Genomic DNA, 18,413 nt, shown 5'->3' on the forward strand with positions numbered 1-18,413 from the left:
CCAGCCTGGGCAACAGAGTGACAGAAAAAAAAAAAAAAACCCACAGGTCACCCAGTTTAATTTGAGCTTCAAATACAAAACGAATAATATTTTAGTATAAGGATGTCTCATGCAATATTTGGGCAGTCTATATACTAAAATTTATTTATTGTGTGTCTGAAATTCAAATGTAACTGGGCATCCTGCATTTTATCTACGAGCATTTAACCCTATCCTGGGGGACCTTGACCCCCAGCCCACTTGGGGTCTCTGCTCCCAACTCCCTGGTCCAAAGGCAAACCTCCAAGTCAGAAAAGAGATAGTATCCTTTTACTTGACACAGGGGGGCGCTAGAAGATGGCTTGTTCGCTTTCTTTTCTGTAACTCAGTGTCTAGGGAAGCACCAGCAGGTTGGCTGGCTTGCAACAAATCTCTCCGTACCTGTGAGTCATTTTCTGATGTTCAGGTTTGTAAGAAACCGATACAGAGCTGGCCACCTCCCTCTTGGGCCTTCACTTCTGGGGGGCTAGCCTAGCGCCTCAGGGGCTCCCCGGTTCTCGCCTCCCCTAGGCTCGCCTACCCTCCATTGATGTCATAACTCTATTCTGATATCACAGCCCAGCACTTGGAATTATCCCAGGCAGCCCAGGCTCTGCCCTTAGAGCAACTAGAGCAGGCAGTAGAGTGGGGTGGGCGGGGATGAGGAGGGGGTTGGGTGGCTGGTGGCCCTAGAGGCTGGCCCTAAAGAATACCTGGACAGCCTGCCACCCTATTGCTCCAAAATGAAAATCCTCTAACAGGTAGGACTTGGAAGAATTTCCTCCTGTTCCTGTTGGGTGTGATCCCACTGAGGTGGAAATAAATTCCCAGGGAGTGTGGCGTTGTTCTGGCTCTGTAAACAGCTCTCGGGAACCCTGCTGCCTGTGTGCCTGGGGATGCAAGTGGGCTTGGTCCACTTAACAGTCCTCTCTTCCCGTTTGAAGGAATGACTTCACAAAGCACAGTGTTTCTTACTTGTTGGGGGAGACATTCCTTAGGGCTTGGAGAATGCCTGCAGATACTGATCCAGGTTCTTCTGTGGCCACTGCCTCTGTCCTCACTCCCTAAGAAGATGGATGGGAACAGGGTTATGCTCTCCTTAGAACAAAGGGAAAATATAGGTGCATTCAAGCTATTGACCCTCAGACCCCTCAGTCCTGAGGAGGAGAGAAGCCCCATCCTCCCAGCTGGCCAGACAGTATAAAGAACTCTCTTATGAACTCACTTGAGTGAAAATTTGACTGGTATGGATTAAACAACACAAGAAAAGAAAACTGAATAACTTCTCTCTTACTTTGAGGGACATGAAGTCTTCCTGGGGGAGCATGTTAAAACTGCAGATTCCTAGGGCAGGACCACTGAGATTCAGATCCGATGGTCATATGGCACCTAGGGACCCCCATTTTAATTTTTATTTGTTTTAATTTAATTTAAATTTTTTTTATAGAGACAGGGCCTCACCGTGTTGCCCATGCTGGTCTCAAACTGCTGGGCTCAGGCAATTTTCCTGCCTCGGCCTCCCAAAGTGCTGGATTACAGGTGTGAGACACCCGGCCCTCCCCCATTTTTATTTTTTATTTTTATTTATTTATTTTTGAAATGGAGTCTTGCTCTGTTGCCCAGGCTGGAGTGCAGTGGTACGATCTCAGCTCACTGCAACCTCCACCTCCCGGGTTCAGACGATTCTCCTGCCTCAGCCTCCCCAGTAGCTGGGATTACAGGCTTGTGCCACCATGCCTGGCTAATTTTTGTGTTTTTAGTAGAGATGGGTTTCACCATGTTGTCCAGGCTGGTCTTGAACTCCTGACCTCAAGTGATCTGCCCACCTCCGCCTCCCAAACTGCTAGAATTACAGGCGTGAGCAACCACTCCCTACCTTCCCCCATTTTTATAATAAACATTCTACACAGGGCTCCTGCCAGCCCTCCAAGCTTCTCACTTTGAGAAGCACAGTCCGCTCTGTCAGACTCCCTGGATTGCTTATTGCTGCTATCTCTCTTCCCCCATCTCCAAATTCCATGTTTTTCTTGGAGGGAGGTTTAATTCAGCTTTACTCCACATATTTATTTAATGTGCTGGATCCAGGAAGACAAAAGTGATGGTGTAGGGCCTTATTGTTCATCAAGTGCATTGTATCTGAGTTTTTGGCCCCTGCCTTCTAGGCCTAGGTGCAGCCCCTCTCTCTACCTAAGAAAACCACTTCTGTCTATATCAGGAGTGCTATACCCTTTCTTCATCAGAGACTTTCTCTTCATGGTTCTCACCCCAACTGAGAAAATGGAATATAAGCGTGAATTATTGGTCATTAAAACTGATAGTGGAGCCAGGCATGGCAGTTCATGCCTGTAATCCCAGCATTTTGGGAGGCTGTAGTGGGAGGATCGCTTGAGGCCAGGAGTGGAGAGCAGCCTGGGCAACATATCAAGACCCCATCTTTCAAAAAAAGTAATAATAGTAACTGGGTGTGGTAGCACACACCTATAGTCCTACCTACTCAAGAGACTGAGGTGGGGCGATCACTTGAGCCCAGGAGGTCAAGGCTTCAGTGAACTATGATCATGCCTGGGTGACAGAGCAAGACCCTTTCTCTAAAAACAAAAACAAAAAACTGGTAGTAGTGAAGGGTATGGCTCATGGAAGGGACTAGTTTCTGTTTCTCTGGTGGCCTGGAATGAACATTGAATGGTACCTGGCGGGACAGCCATGCCTCCTTGATCTCTCAGCAGCTCAAGGTGCAAATTCCTTCCTCCCTGGCTATGACTTTAGGCTTTCCCAATAATACCACACAGCTTTTTGAACAAATAAACATATCTAGGCTAGTTCATAGGGTTTTTAGTTGTCGTCTTGCCTCTGTGCTCTTGAAGTTTTGAGCCCTTTGCATTTGGCAGTGTCCAGGCATTCAGGCCTGGAGCCCGTGTAGTGCCAGTGCCTCCCTCCACGCTCTTGGCCTGGTTGACCTCACCTAAACCCTCCAAAAAGCAGATGGTCAGACTCTCTTCCCTTCAAACTCTTCTCTGCCCTGACTCACACCTGGGCCATTTCATCCAGTGAGACTGAGGGAGGAGCGAGGGAGTCCATGTTTCCCCTCCATGACGCCGGGACAGGAAGCTAGACTCAGTCTCTTCCATATGGCCAGGAAGGGGAGTACCTGACTGCCCATCTTGGTTTTGGGAGAGAGAAAAACCAGTGCTCAGTCTGGGAAATGAGGTTTTGGGGGATTGTGATAAAATAGAGGACAGGACTCTGCAGGTCAAGGACAGAGGTGCATCCTGAGGGCGCACTGCAGTCAGGGCCAAGTGGCTCACTCTTTGCAGCTTTAGCAGCACCTTGGATATAGTTGCTGCTCCGTAAACGTGTTGATTGACAGAGGTGCAGGTAAAAACCTCAGAACAGTTGGGCTTAAGGATGCTACAAAAAAAGCTCTGGGATGGGATTTAATTTTTTTTTTTTTTAACTGTTGTTATCAGCCTGGCCAACACGGTGAAATCCCATCTCTACTAAAAATACAAAAAAAAAAAAAAAAAAAAAATTAGCCGGGCGTTGTGGCACGCACCTGAAATCCCAGGCACTCTGGAGGCTGAGCCAGGAGAATTGCTTGAGCCTGGGAGGCAAAGGTTTCAGTGAGCTAAGGTCACGCCACTGCACTCCAGCCTGGGCAACAGAGCAAGACTTTCTCTCTCTTAAAAAAAAAAAATGTTGTTATACAAAATAAACAGAAGTGAACAGAAGACTCTCAGGAATCGTCACATACCTGTCACCCAGATGCCACAGTTACCAGCTACCAGCTCATGGCCAGCCTTGTCTCTATGCCTCCATCCTCTTCCTCTGTCTCTATCATTTTGAAGCCCATTGCAGAGGTCATAGCATCCCATTTGTTAACATGTCTGGATGTATCTTTAAAAGATCAGAATTCCTTTTTTTTTTTTTTTAACATAACCAAAGTGCTATGATCATATCTAACAAATTAACAGTGGGTTGGAATGAAGTTTATTTAAAGGAGCCAGTCCTCTCCCTGTCTTAGAGAGTTTGCAGGAAGTAGAAAAGGGAATGCAGAGGGCTGAGAAAGGGGCCGCACATGTGCTTCCAGCAGCCAAGCTGGGCTCTGTTCAGTTCAGAGAAACCAAAGAGAGGTTAACAGCTCTCAGTTGGGAGAGGATCCGGGCCCTTCTCAAGGAAGGAGGGCTGGGCGTTGGCAAGATGTGTCTTCTGACCCTTGGCCTCATCACGGGCCCTGCAGGGTAAAGGGTGAGGGGCGTGGGTTGGGGAGTTGCTAGTGAGAGCACAGTCAGTTCCCAGGTATCCACATTAGGAGAAGAAGGAGCCACCAGAAAGTAGCATAGGAAAATGATGGTCTTATTCTTTAGGAGGTGTGAACAATTTGGATTTAGATGTGACCCTATGACCCATACAGATGGCTGCGGCTTACCCCTGAGAGACCTGTATAAATCAGTGCTAACTGAAAGAGGCCCAGGGTGAATGGGTCACTCGTGAGTTTGAATGCATGTGCAGAGCTCAAAGGAGATTGGTGTTCAGTTCTCAGAGAAACTGAGTTGGATTTTCACCCTGGGGGTGACAGCATTTGTTCTGAGCCCCTCCTCATGGGACTTTAGCCTGCCACCCAAGCCCAGGAGCCAGCCCAGAAGTGGCCACCTTATTTCAGTAGAGAAGTAGGCGTTATGTAATACGCCTCTGGGGGTGGGGGTTCTTCTTATGAAGAGGTCAGAGCATAACAAAAGTGGTTGTCTAGTTTAAAACATTCCTGTGGCCAGGCATGGTGGCTCATACCTATAATCCTAGCACTTTGGGAGGCCGAGGCGGGCAGATCACCTGAGGTCAGGAGTTTGAGACCAGCCTGATCAACATGGCGAAACCCCGTCTCTACTAAAACTATAAAAGTTATCTGGGCATGGTGGCATATGCCTGTAGTCCCACCTACTCGGGAGGCTGAGGCAGGAGAATCGCTTGAACCCGGGAGGCCCAGATTGCAGTGAGCCAAGATCACACCATTGCACTCCAGCCTGGGGGACAAGAGCGAGAAACTCCATCTCAAAAAAAAAAACAAAAACAAAAACCAAGAGCATTATTGCCATTAAGGTAGTTTAAGCATCATTTTCCTGCTAGGGCAATTACCTTGATTGCTAATTGTTTCCTTTGTAACTAGAGGGCATAATAGCACTTTCGTTTGTAATTATCAGATTGGAGTTTATTCTTTGTTACTGTTTAGGTGTTAACCTTCACGTGGATCTGTAGGCATGAGCACCGGACTCTGATGCAGGCAAGGCTGTCAACTCAGGATGTCACTAATCCAGAGGTGGAGGGCCCCGGGGTCCAGACCGGATGCCTGACCTAAACCTGAGGCTGGCAGGACTGTGACGTTTCCCTGGGGTACCCCCTGCATTTCAGTTTGCCAGTTTGAGCTTTGACTGGAGATGGTCATGGAAAGGTTGAGGCTGAGTATTCTGGGCTACGGAACTAGAAAGCTGGGCTCTGAGGGGGCCCCTCGGTCAGTTTGCTGAATCACAGTACCATGCCTGGTGGTATGAACAAGTATGGCTTAATAAAAGGGACACAAAATTTGGGATTCTGGCGTTGCTGTTGAGTCACTGTGTGAACTTTGGACAAGGCCCTCTCCCTCTCTAAGCTCCAATTTCTTTGCCCATCACAGGGACAAATAATGTCTACATAAAGAGATGGTTGTGAGGGTAAATAACAACAACAATAATACTTTTTAAATTAGGCTGGGCACAGTGGCTCACATCTGTATTCCCAGCACTTTCGGAGGCTAAGAAGAGCAGATCACTGAGGTCAGGAGTTTGAGACCAGCCTGGCCAACATGGCAAAACCCGGTCTCTACTAAAAATACAAAAATTAGCTGGGTGTGGTGGCACGCACCTGTAGTCCCAGCTACTCGGGAGGCTGAGGCAGGAGAATCACTTGAACCTGGGAGGCAGAGGTTGCAGTGAGCGGAGATTGCGCCACTACATTCCAGCCTGGGAAACAGAGAGAGACTCCATCTCAAAAACAAAAAAAATGTTAAATTAAATTAAATAATACAAAACAGTCTAGGTGAGAGGGAAGCACGTGGAACAGCTTCCAAATGCCAGTCGTCATCACTACCATTCCAGGCTCTTCAGCTCAGGTCCTTAGTTGACAACAGATCTGTGTGTGATGGTCTCATGCATGTGGGATGTCTTCTACCCACACTGGATATACCTCCATAGACAGTGATATGGTTTGGCTGTGTCTCACCCAAATCTCACCTTGAATTGTAATAATTGCCACGTGTTGAGGGTGGGGCCAGGTGGAGATAATTGAATCATGGGGTGGTTTCCCCCATACTGTTCTCATGGTAGTGAATAAGTCTCACAAGATCTGATGGTTTATAAAGGGGAGTTCCCCTGCACGTGCTCTCTTGCCTGCTGCCATGTACGATGTGAATTTGTTCCTCATTAACCTTCCCCCATGATTTTTTTTTTTTTTTTTTTTGAGATGGAGTCTCGCTCTGTTGCCCAGGCTGGAGTACAGTGGTGCAATCTCAGCTCACTGCAACCTCCGCCTCCCAGGTTCAAGCAATTCTCATGCCTTAGCCTCCTGAGTAGCTGGGATTACAGGTGTGTGCCACCATGCCTGGCTAATTTTTGTATTTTTAGTAGAGACAGGGTTCACCATGTTGGCCAGGCTGACGAACTCCTGACCTCAAGTGATCTGCCCATCTCGGCCTCCCAAAGTGCTGGGATTACTGGCATGAGACACCGGGCTGGCTGCCTTCCACCATGATTGTGAGGCCTCCACAGCCATGTGGAACTGTGAGTCCATTAAACTTCTTGCCTTTATAAATTACCCAGTCTCAGGTGTCTCCTTATTAGCAAGATGAGAATAGACTAATACATACAGGGATCTGTTTTACTAATTAGTTTTTTAAAAATTATTTTTTCATGGTTTTCTATCCAGGGTCAACTGGTGGCAGGGAACAAAACCCCGCTGAGACTGGCTGAAACACAAGTGGGGCCTGTGCTCAGGGTGCAGGAAGTGGAGCATCCAAGGGGAGAGGTGTGTCCACAGCTGCTCTCTCTGACACCCCCATTTCTGGTTCTCTCCCGGTGTCCCCTCTGTGTCCTTTCCCTCTGTAGCCTGGTTTCTTTGTTCCTCCATAATTTCGTTCTGTAGGTGGGCCTGGCCTGCCCTGGCTCTTGCCTGGCTTTGTGGCTGCCATCTCTGGCTCCAGCTTCAAATTCTTAGGTAAGAGGCTCTGGCACAGCTCAGAGCAGGTACCCTGCCCTGGCCCGATCCAGCATGGTCATTGCGGCTGCTTGAGTCATCTCGGCTCATTGCAACTTGCCGCCTTCCAGGTTCAAGCGATTCTCCTGCCTCAGCTTCCCAAGTCAAAGCAGGGCAAGGTCATGCCTGAGGGGCCACCAAAGTATATATAGCGAGGAAGCCTTAAATCCTGTCCCCGTTGCTGGCTCTTCCTGAGACTTGGTCTCTTCCAAGAAGCCTTCCATGACCACCTCTAGTCCTCTCCCTGCCATCGGCAGGAGGGCAGGCAAAAGTCGTTTGGGCTCCATGTCCACTGAGGCTGCCCCCTTACCTGTGTCTAGCCCAGGCCAAGGAACCATGGTGGGCTCAGACCCTCCTCTGGAGGGAGGCCAGGCTGACAGGCAGGCATGACAACCATAGATTGTGGAAGAGAAACTTTGGAAGACAAGGCAAGTTGCTGAGGGCACAGGCAGGAATCATAGAAGCTTCCAGAGGCTCCAGAGGGGCAACCTGGGGTGCTGGGGAGGGCCTGATGAGCACAGGAAGGGCTGAGTCCAGTGGAGGCTGGCTCTTGGCAGCACAGTGGCGGCCCCTGCCCATGTATGGCACACCTGAACACAGTGGCACCTGCAGCCCAAGGCTTCCATGTGGTTCCAGAGCCTTGGGCTGGTGTGAGCTACTGTACTTCTCTGTAGGGGCCACCTGCCAGTGGGGGTGCCAATAGGTGGGCTCCAGGCTGTCTTCATTTGTCAGCCTAGGTTGCTTCCCTTGTTCTGTGGCCAGTGGTCTTTGGTGAAGGATATCTGTTTGCAACATGAGATCCATCCACCGCAGATGATTTGAAAACCATTGGTCCAGAGCTTCCACCTGAATCAGGATTAGCTATAGAAACTGAGGCTGAGCTTGAAGGTGGGAAGGGCTCAGGCTTGGGCTCAGGCTGTGGCAAGAGGCAGGACCTGGCTGTTTCATGATCTCCCTGCTCTCCACGGCTTGGAGCCAGCTCTCCTTCCATGGAAAGGACAGAGGCTGTGCTTGTCCACAGGCCTCAATGCCTAGACACAGAAGGAACATTCTCTCTAGCCCCCAGATGTTTGGTGTGCACAGTGCCACATCAGTAGCCTGCCTTAGTCCAGGTGACAGCAGAGAAGGGTATAAGGGCCATCAGACAGCCGCAAGCCAGAGAATCAGGCCAGAGACAAGCCCCTGCGGCAGGCTCTGCTCTGACCTTGCAGGCTGGAGTTGGCGATTCACTGTGGCCTCAGGCACTGCCCTCTGGAGAGCCTGGATGGATCCTGCAAGTTGGGACTCCCGTGGGTGAGCTCTGGTTTTAGTGACTGAGTGGTGGGTTTTCCTTCCCCCACAGCAGCCACCTTACATTTTTCTTCAGAAGATGGTCAGAAACACTTAGCTCAGAAATGAGATAACCTCTCCTGAGGAATGAGGGTATTCATTTTAATTAGGCTCTTGAGTCTTGGTACCGTGCCTGTCGTGGAAGACCTGCAGCCACAAATGAGCCCATCTTTCCTTGTCTCTGTTAAGCACCAGAAGCAGGGAAGCCAGGCTGGCCCGTGGGATGTCTTGTAATGAATGAGGCAGCTCTGTGTCATAGAGAACTCCTGTGCAGAGATGTTTTGTGAGCTCAGCCAGAAGTGTCACCTTCAGAGCCTGGCCACAGAAGCCCTCAAGTCCTACCTGTCCTAGGAGCAGCCCTGCTGGCTCTGGGCGAGCCTGGGACTGGTTAGGCCTGGCTTTGAGGACACTCTGAGGTCTGGGTTTCCCTCTCCTCAGCTGAGTAATGTCCTCTGCCTCTCTTGGCCTCAGCACCTCGGCTGTTAGCTGGCATGAGCCCCATGCCCTGTGAGGTGTCACATACCACACGGGGAACGGCTGCTCTTGTTAAACGCATTTTTTTTTTTTTTTTTGAGATGGAGTCTCGCTCTGTTGCCCAGGCTGGAGTGCAGTGGCGTGGTCTTGGCTCACTGTAACCTCCGTCTCCTGGGTTCAAGCAATTCTCCTGCCTCAGCCTTCCGAGTAGCTGGGATTACAGGCCGCCTGCCACCATGCCCGGCTAATTTTTGTATTTTTATTAGAGACAGGGTTTCACCATGTTGGCCAGGCTGGTATCAAAATCCTGACCTTGTGATCCACCTGCCTTGGCCTCCCAAAGTGCTGGGATTACAGGCATGAGCCACTGAGCCCAGCCTGTTAAACACGATTTTTTTTTTTTTTTTGAGATGGAGTTTCACTCTTGTTGCCCAAGCTGGAGTACAATGTCATGATCTTGGCTCACTGCAACCTCCACCTCCTGGGTTCAAGCAATTCTTCTGCCTCAGCCTCCTGAGTAGCTGGGCTTACAGGTATGTGCCTGGTCCCGAACTCCTGACCTCAGGTGATCCGCCTAACTAGGCCTCCCAAAGTGCTGGGATTACAGGCGTGAGCCACCGTGCCTGGCCTCTTAAATGCCTTTTTATCCAGGACACCCTCCTGACTCCCCAGCCCAGGTCAGCTTCCCACGTAGTGGAAAGAGTGCTATACAACTCCTTCATAGCACCCACCCTAGTTGCACTGATTATTCACCTGTACAGTTATTTAGTGTTTGACTTCCCTGATAATCCATAGCAACAGGAGGGTGGGGATTGTGACAACTGGCTTGCCACTGAATGCCCAGTGCCTACCACCCTGCTTGTCTCAGAGTAGACATGCTCGAATTATTTGTTGGAGGAATGGGGGAGGGAAGGAGGGAGAGAGAGACTGCATGAATGAATGAGTGTGAGAAGTGGGCGCTGGTGCTCTGGCCAGACACAGTGGTCACTTTGGTCCACAGGCTCTGGGTGTAGAGGCTCTGGGCCACATGGATAAGCAGTCTCGGGGTCCTCACAGAGCCATCTTGGAAAAGCAAGTCCTTCCAAAGGATATCACCGAGTGTGGGAGGCCATGAGGGACTTCAAGGTGACTCCAGAGAGCTAAGCTAGAGAGGCACTCCAGCAGGGGCAGTGGAGTCCTTAGCAAGGGGCAGTCCGGTGGCAGTCACCATATTAGCCCTCCAGCTGCTGCCATTTGTGTGAAGCGCAGTGGGGGCCAGGGATGCTTGGCTGTTGTAATAACACAGGTGTCTGAGTTTGTACCTATGCAAGATCAATGCTTAATGGTCTTCCTCTCCCGAGTGGAGGACCAGTGTCATGGGTGGTCAGGACAGTCCTGACCACCAATGAGAGGTGGCTCATAAGAGAGAGGAGGCAAGGCTTGGACTCCCCAGGGGGGCTGGGCCCTTCCTTGGCTACGTAGCTGTGGTACCTGGGCAAGCCCACCAACTCCTCCAAGCTCTAGCTGCCTTGTCTCTAAAATAAGGATAGTTCCAGCCCTAGCCTACCTGACATCCACTGCGGGGACAAATGAGTGTGTGCTGGCGAAAGCCTTGCCTAGGATCACCATTGGAGTTGTTGTCATTTATAGGGGTAGCCAACAATAAAGTTGGGCCCTTCTCAACTCCTCTGTGAGGTGACGGTCATTGTGGAGAGCATTGTCATTGGAGTTAAGTGCCCAGGCCTCAAGCTAGCCAGTGGTTTGTGTTATGAATGCGCCACCACCTTGGGGCCCTTCAGTCAGAATGCTAGGAGCAAAAGGTGTGTCCCTAAACATTTCTGCCTTTTAAGAAAACGCTTCAAGTTTTGTAAAAATATTTGATGGAAAAAGAAAAGCACAGACCGTGCAAATCCCCTCAAATCTACTCACCCAGCAGTAATGACAGTTAAATCTTCACTGCAAGAATTCCGGACAATCTAGATATAGAATTTTATATCAGTGGGAGAATCCCAATATTTGGTTTTATAACTGACTCATTAAACTTGACAATATGTTGTGGATATTCCATGTCAATGAGTATACATCTGTGGCACCACTTTTTCTAAAAAGATGAATTTTATTATGTATACTTAGGGCATTCAATAGATAATAAAATGGTTACCAAACAATGAGTAACTATGTGAGATGATAGCATCACTTTTTATAGTATTTTATTATGGAAAAGATCTAACATTTCTATGCATGTAGATATACACGTATATGGTCCCCGTTCTCATCACTTAGCTTTCAATGATGTTCAATTATGGCCAATCTTATTTCATCTCAGCCCTTCCTATTTCCCCCATTATTACTATTTTAATATTGTGATAAATACATACGACATTGAATTTACCATTAAAGGCATTTAGTACATTCACAGTGTTGCGCGGCCATCACCTCTGACTAGCTCCAGAACGTTTTCATCACTCCAAAGGAAACCCTGCACCCACTAAGCAGTGACTCCCCATTTCCTCTCTCTCAGCCTGTGGCAACCACTAATCTACTTTCCCCACTATTATTTTACAGCAAACCCCATCTGTGCACATTTCACTGTGTATCTCTAAAAAACAAGGAGTCTTTTAAAAACACAAAATCGACCAGGCGCAGTGGCTTATGCCTGCAATCCCAGCACTTTGGAAGGCTGAGGCAGGCGGATCACTTGAGGTCAGGAGTTTGAGACCAGCCTGGCCAACATGGTGATAGCCCTTCTCTACTAAAAATACAAAAAAAAAAAAAATGAGCTGGGCGTGGTGGTGGGTGTCTGTAATCCCAGCTACTTGGGAGGCTGAGGCAAGAGAATCGCTTGAACCTGGGAGGCAGAGAGGTTGCAGTGAGCCGAGATCGCACCACTTCACTCCAGCTTGGGTGAAAGAGTGAGACTCTGTCTCAAAAAACAAACAAACAAAATAACTCATAAATTCAAGACCACGATCCTACCTGAAATCACAATTCTTTAATATCATTGTTCAAATACCTAATTATAAATATTGTTGTTTTCAATTTTTAATTTTTGTGGGCACATATAGGTGTGTATATTTATGGGTACATAAGATTTTTTTGGGGGGGAGGTTGTTTTTTTTTCTGAGACAGTGTCTTGCTCTGTTGCTCAGGCTGGAGTTCAGTGGCGCCATCTCTGCTCATTGCAACTTGCTGCCTCCCAGGTTCAAGTGATTCTCCTGACTCAGCCTCCCGAGTAGTGGGACTATAGGAAGGCACCACCACACCTGGCTAATTTTTGTATTTTTAGTAGAGATGGGGTTTTGCCATGTTGTCCAGGCTGGTCTTGAACTCCTGGCCTCTAGTGATCTTCCCACTTCAGCCTCCCAAAGTGTTAGGATTACAGGGGTGAGCCACTGTGCCCAGACTCATTTTTCTTTTTCTTTTCTTTTTTTTTTTTTTATTTTTCTTTTCTTGAGACAGGGTCTCACTCTGTCACCCAGACTGGAGTGCAGTGATGTGTTCTCAGCTCACTGCAACCTCCACCTTCTGGGCTCAAGCAATCCTCCCACTTCAGCCTCCAAAGTAGCTGGGACCACAGGTGCATGCCACCATGCCTGGCTAATTTTTTATTTTTAGTGGAGATGGGATTTCACCATGTTGCCCAGGCTGGTCTCCAACTCCTGAGGTCAATCGATCTGCCCGCCCCTGCCTCCCAACATGCTGGGATTATAGGTGTGAGTACTGCACCTGGCCTAATAAATATCACTGTTAATGGTGCATGATATTTCATTAAATAGATACAGTGTACTTCGCTGAAACATTTTTGAAAATGTTTGCCAGTTCATTCAGTTGCATTCTGGTTGTTGGCAATATTTCTCTACTATCAACAGAAGGCACTGGGACAAGCATTTCTGTGCTCACTTTTTTTTTTTTCCTTTTCTTTTTTTGGAACTGGTGTGATTATTTCCTAAGGGTAAATTCTTAGAAAAGGGATGGCTGGGTCAAGTGCATGCTTCACATTTTGATACTGTTGCTGAGTTATCCTCCATCAATGTTGTTCCAGTTTACACTCCCCTTGGCAGAAAATGCATGGCTTAGTTAAGGGAAGATACTTCCTGGAAATATTCACGTTAATCCTTTCCCCTAGCTCAAGTAAAAGTACCACTACTGCCTAAGACCATGGGAACCCACCTCTTGCATCAGCGTGACCTGGATGTGAGACCTGGAGTCAAAGGAGATCATTTTGGAGCTTTAAGATCTGACTGCCCCACTGGATTTGACTTGTATAGGGCCTGTGGCCTCTTTGTTTTAGCCAATTTCTCCCATTTGGAATGGCTGTATTTACCCAATGCCTGCACCCCCATTGTATCTAGGAAGTAACTAATTTGCTTTGGATTTTACAGGCTTATAAGCAGAAGGGACTTGCCTTGTCTCAGATGAGACTTTGGACTGTGGACTTTTGAGTTAATGCTGAAATGAATTAAGACTTTGGGGGACTGTTGGGAAGGCTCGATTGGTTTTGAAATGTGAGGACATGAGATTTGGGAGGGGCCAGGGGTGGGATGATATGGTTTGGCTGTGTCCCCACTCAGATCTCATCTTGAATTCCCACATGTTGTGGGAGGGACCCGGTGGGAAGTGGTTGAATCATGGGAACGGGTCTTTCCTGTTCTGTTCTCATGATGGTGAATAAGTATCACGAGATCTGATGGTTTTTAAAAAGGGGTGTTTCCCTGCACAAGTTATCTTCTCTTGTCTGCTGCCATGTGAGACGTGCCTTTTACCTTCCACCATGATTGTGAGATCTCCCCAGCCACGTGGAGCTGTAAGTCCATTGAACCTCTTTCTTTTGTAAGTCTCCCAGTCTTGGATATGTCTTTATCAGCAGTGTGAAAATGGACTAATACAACTACTCTTCCATCTGTAAAGAAATGCCTGGTCACACTGGACTGAGGGTCTCCCAGATGCAGTAGCAGCTCAAGGCCATTGCTTGATAACCAGATGCTGGAGAAAAATGCCATAGTGCCCACAGTGACAGCGCATGCAGCCCTCCTGCTAAGGGAGGGCCAGGAGCAGTCAGGGAGAGTGATGGCAGCAGCTGGGGAGAATAGGCAGACAGAAAGCCCTATTAGTGAAGCTGGGCTGGTTCACACACGTGCTCATCAGTCTGGAAGCCCAGGAAGCCAGTGGGAGGAAATCGATGCTCTGTCTTTTGGAGGAGAGGGAGGAAGAAGGAATTGGTGAAAAAAATGATCCTCCACTATTCACTTCAACTTGATTTTCTATGCTATTAAAAATGTTATAGTGACATTAAAGGAGCTTATTTTATTTATTTATTTATTTGAGACAGAGTTTCACTCTGTCACCCAGGCTAGAGTGCAGTGGTGCAATCTCGGTTCACTGCAACTCTGCCTCCCGGGTTCAAGAGATTCTTGTGCCTCAACCTCCCAAGTAGCTGGGACCACAGGCATGCACCAGCATGCCCGGCTAATTTTTGCCCTTTTTTTTTTTTTTTTTTTTAGTAGAGATGGGGTTTCAACATGTTGGCCAGGCCATGGTGAAATAAAAACAATGCCATGATCCTAGCCATTGCTGTTTCTTTGGGACCTGCTCATACTGCCCGTGTGCATGTGCACACACACACACACACACACACACACACACCCACTGACAGCGCTGTGGCCACCACCGTGTTCTCCTTTCCCTGGGCATTCCAGCATCAGCATGCTGGCTGCTCTTCAGTTTTTGTTGTCACTTTCTGCTTTTGCTTCTGCTCTGTGGAGAGCCTGGCCCCAGTTTTCTTATCCTGCCGTCCAGTGGTTGGACACTTGAGCAGCCTGCGGTTATGGCCTGTTATAACACCCACTGCCATGTCCATGCTTGGAGCTCCCTTTTGTTGGTAACACTTTCCTAGGGAAAATTCTATTGGGTAGTGGATGTGAATGATATTGTGGCTCTTGATTTCCCCTGTCCTCTAGCCCAGTTGTTTTAAAAAATAGAAGTGAGTGCCTCCCCAGGAAGGCAAAAGATACCCACTGCAGTACGAGATGAAAACATTAGAAGTTCTATTCAAACTGATTTATGGCCGGGCACAGTGGCTCACCCCTGTAATCCCAACACTTTGGAAGGCTGAGGCCGGTTGGTCACTTGAGGTCAGGAGTTCAAGAGCAGCCTGGCCAACAAGGTAAAACCCCATCTCTACTAAAAATACAAAAATTAGCCAGATATGTTGGCAGGCACCTGTAATCCCAGCTACTTGGTAGGCTGAGGCAAGAGAATCGCTTGAACCTGGGAGGCAGAGGTTGCAGTGAGCCGAGATTGCCCCACTGCACTCCAGCCTTGGCAACAGAAGGAGACTCCATCTCAAAAAAAAAAAATACTGATTTAATTTTATCTTTTAAAGTTTTTTGGTGTATATATATACAGATAGATACAGAATTTCGCTTTTTTGCCCAGGCTGGAGTGAAGTGGCCTGATCTCGGCTCACTGCAACCTCTGCCCACCGGGTTCAAGTGGTTCTCCTGCCTCAGCCTCCCGAGTAGCTGGGATTACAGGCGCCCACAACCACACCCAGCTAATTTTTTTTTTTTTTTTTTTTTCTGGTATTTTTAGTAGAGACAGGGTTTTGCCATGTTGGCCAGGCAGGTCTTGCACTCCTGACCTCAGGTGATCTGCCTGCCTTTGCCTCCCAAAGTGCTGGGATTACAGGCATCAGCCACCATGCCTGGCCTTAAAATTTTGGTTTTTATATATGTTGTATAATATACATAAAGTGTAAGTCAACTAGTACAACATATATATAAAATCTATAAACCATTATTCATATACTGAGGGCTCATGTTTTTTGGATGGGGACATTTGCAAATGCCTCCAGAGGGTGGTCCTGGGCGGTATGGTCACCTAGCACATTCCTGCCTCAGCCACTTGGCCTCCCTTCCCTTCCTGGATACACTTGCAGCTGCAGGAGCTGGACGAAGTAACCCCAAGTGACAAGAACCCACATTTGCCCTTCACTGAGAAAGCGCCAGAGAGAAAAGAAGTACCTTTTTTTCAAAGTATCCTCAGTTCCTTTCCAGAATGAAGTAGAAATAGAGCTGAGGGGACAAAGGAGGGGTCCAGCCTCATGCTTGAGGTGTGGGGACACGGAGAACCCTCGGCCCTTTTGGTGGCTGGGTGGTCTTTCTCCCGGTGAAGGCTGGTCCTTGCTGCCCACCCTGGCCCACCTGGGCAGCCCCTGCCCTTTGTGTCTCTCTCCCCACAGCTTGTCTTCCCTCCTCAGGCTGTCTGTTGCCCCTTGGTGTTCCTTTCCACATTGTTTTTCCTTTTAGATGTGTATTTCATGTGTGCCAGACAGATTCTCATTCTGTACGAAGCAAAAACCTTTCATCTATTTGTAGTCAATTCAAAGCCAAATCAAGATGCCAGAACTGAAGGATCATTCAGGCTGAGTGTTCAGTCCTTGAGGGGCCCACAGCCCCGGGCGAGCAGAAAGGCACTGTTATTCAGCATTATTTGAAAACCACGAGTTGCCTCGTACCATTTCCTGCACCCCAGTGCTAATGCTTCTGCTGCAGATATGCCACAGTGATCCATTTCCTCTCAGAATGTGGCACGGTGAAGATCCAGTAGCATGTCCTGTGAAAAATTTCATCCATGCCACAGCTGCTGAGGAGTCGACCTCATCCGTGAGTTTTCCTCAGCCCCTGCTACGTATAAAGAACCCGACACGCATGACACGGAGTAAATGTCACAGCTCTGTGACTCTGGCATTTTCCACATTGTTGTAATGCACCCAGGCTACTAAGACTTCACTAAACTGTTTTTTGTTTGTTTTTTGTTTTTCTTGAGATGGAGTCTCACTCTGTTGCTGAGGCTGGAGTACAGTGGATCGATCTCAGCCCACTGCAACCTCCACCTCCCGGGTTCAAGCAATGCTTATGCCACAGCCTCCCGAGTAGCTGGGATTACAGGCGCCCGCCACCACACCTGGCTAATTTTTATATTTTTAGTAGAGACAGTGTTTTGCCATGCTGGCCAGGCTGGTCTCGAACTCCTGACCTCAGGTGATCCGCTCGTCTTGGCCTCCCAAAGTGTTGGGATTACAGGAGTGAGCCACCCCACCTGGCCTACAACTAAACTGTTTAAATTGAACTCCTTTGGCATTTGTGGATCTAAGGTCTGGTGTTTCAAACGACTCAAATGTAAAAACCTCCAGTGGGGTGACCAGGGAGCTGGGCTTTCCCAGGAGGTGGGAGGCCTGACCACAGAAGGTTCTGTGCCTCATGTACAGTTTTTATTTTAATATTTAAAATTTTTTTTTTTGAGACGGAGTTTCGCTGTTGTCACTCAGGCTGGAGTACAGTGGCGTGATCTCGGCTCACTGCAACCTTCACCTCCCGGGTTCAAGCAATTCTCCTGTCTCAGCCTCCCAAGTAGCTGGGATTACAGGCATCCGCCACCATGCCTGGCTAATTTTTTTTTTTTTTTTTTTAGTAGCGATGGGGTTTCACCATGTTGTGCAGGCTGGTCCTGAACTCCTGACCTCAGGTGATCCACCCACCTCGGCCTCCCAAAGTGCTGGGATTACAGACATGAGCCACCACACCCGGCCGATGTTTTTGTTTTTTACATCCACTCATACACATACAAGGGAGTATGGAAGTCATGCTTCTCTCAAAAAGCAGCAGCCCTGCTCCCCCCACCTTCCTCTCTTTCCATCCTGCTCCCCAAGGCAGCCATTCCTGACTTTAGTTAATGCCCTGGTTCATGCCACACACTGAGTCATTTGTCCTGTGGCTCAGGCCCCAGCCTGAGGTGTGTGTGTTTGTGGAGAGACGCAGGAACACCAGCTTGAGAGGGTGATGTGCGATCACAAATGGAATCCTATCTGATATACCTCTGCTTCCTGCAAAGATCCAGGGGATGTGAATGGTGGCCCTGAGTGGACTCAAATGGGCTGACCAGGGAGCCGCATCTGCCCAGTAGGGGAAGGTGGGGGCTGGTGGCAGAGTGAGCCAAGAGAACACTGGGTTTCTAGCAGGAGACAGGAGGTCTGACCACAGGAAGGTTCTGGGCCTCCAGTCTCAACAGGCTTGCAGTGATTGTCCCAGCTGGAGGATGTGGGAAATGTAGAGTTTCCTGATGGACAACCACTCTTTTTGTTTTCAATCCATGTCTTAAAAACCAAAGTCATAGACTCGGCACAGTGGCTCATGCCCATAATCCCAGCACTTTGGGAGGCCGAGGTGGATGGATCACTTGAGGCTAGGAGTTTGAGACCAGCCTGGCCAACAGGGTGAAACCCCATCTCTATAAAAATACAACAGTTAGCCAGGCGTGGTGGTGGGCACCTGTAT

The 18,413-nt window shown here is 48.5% G+C and overlaps 1 protein-coding gene across 4 annotated transcripts in view, besides 3 other annotated features; it reads left to right on the forward strand.

The window, feature by feature from the left end:
* Nucleotides 1-18,413, forward strand: part of OSBP2 (oxysterol binding protein 2) — a 214,032-nt gene that overhangs the window by 69,832 nt on the left and 125,787 nt on the right. Inside the window, exon 1 of one of the 4 annotated variants that reach the window (NM_001282740.2) lies at nt 640-779. The exons of the other annotated variants lie outside the window; for them this stretch is intronic. The gene's annotated coding sequence lies outside the window, so the exon portion shown is untranslated. Of the gene's footprint in view, nt 1-639; nt 780-18,413 lie in introns of those variants that run through there. 4 annotated transcript variants of the gene reach the window in all.
* Nucleotides 317-366: a silencer, noted in NCBI's record as "silent region_13618". NCBI's record gives its function as "represses an Ori minimal core promoter by ATAC-STARR-seq in GM12878 lymphoblastoid cells {active_cell/tissue: GM12878}" and the evidence as "EXISTENCE:reporter gene assay evidence [ECO:0000049][PMID:35858748]".
* Nucleotides 9,053-9,552: an enhancer, noted in NCBI's record as "H3K27ac hESC enhancer chr22:31168653-31169152 (GRCh37/hg19 assembly coordinates)". NCBI's record gives its function as "activates a minimal SCP1, AML or CMV promoter by ChIP-STARR-seq in primed H9 embryonic stem cells {active_cell/tissue: H9 hESC(primed)}" and the evidence as "EXISTENCE:reporter gene assay evidence [ECO:0000049][PMID:30033119]".
* Nucleotides 16,247-16,747: an enhancer, noted in NCBI's record as "H3K4me1 hESC enhancer chr22:31175847-31176347 (GRCh37/hg19 assembly coordinates)". NCBI's record gives its function as "activates a minimal SCP1, AML or CMV promoter by ChIP-STARR-seq in naive H9 embryonic stem cells {active_cell/tissue: H9 hESC(naive)}" and the evidence as "EXISTENCE:reporter gene assay evidence [ECO:0000049][PMID:30033119]".

Source organism: Homo sapiens, chromosome 22 (genome assembly GCF_000001405.40).
Source record: "Homo sapiens chromosome 22, GRCh38.p14 Primary Assembly".
NCBI lineage: Eukaryota > Metazoa > Chordata > Mammalia > Primates > Hominidae > Homo > Homo sapiens.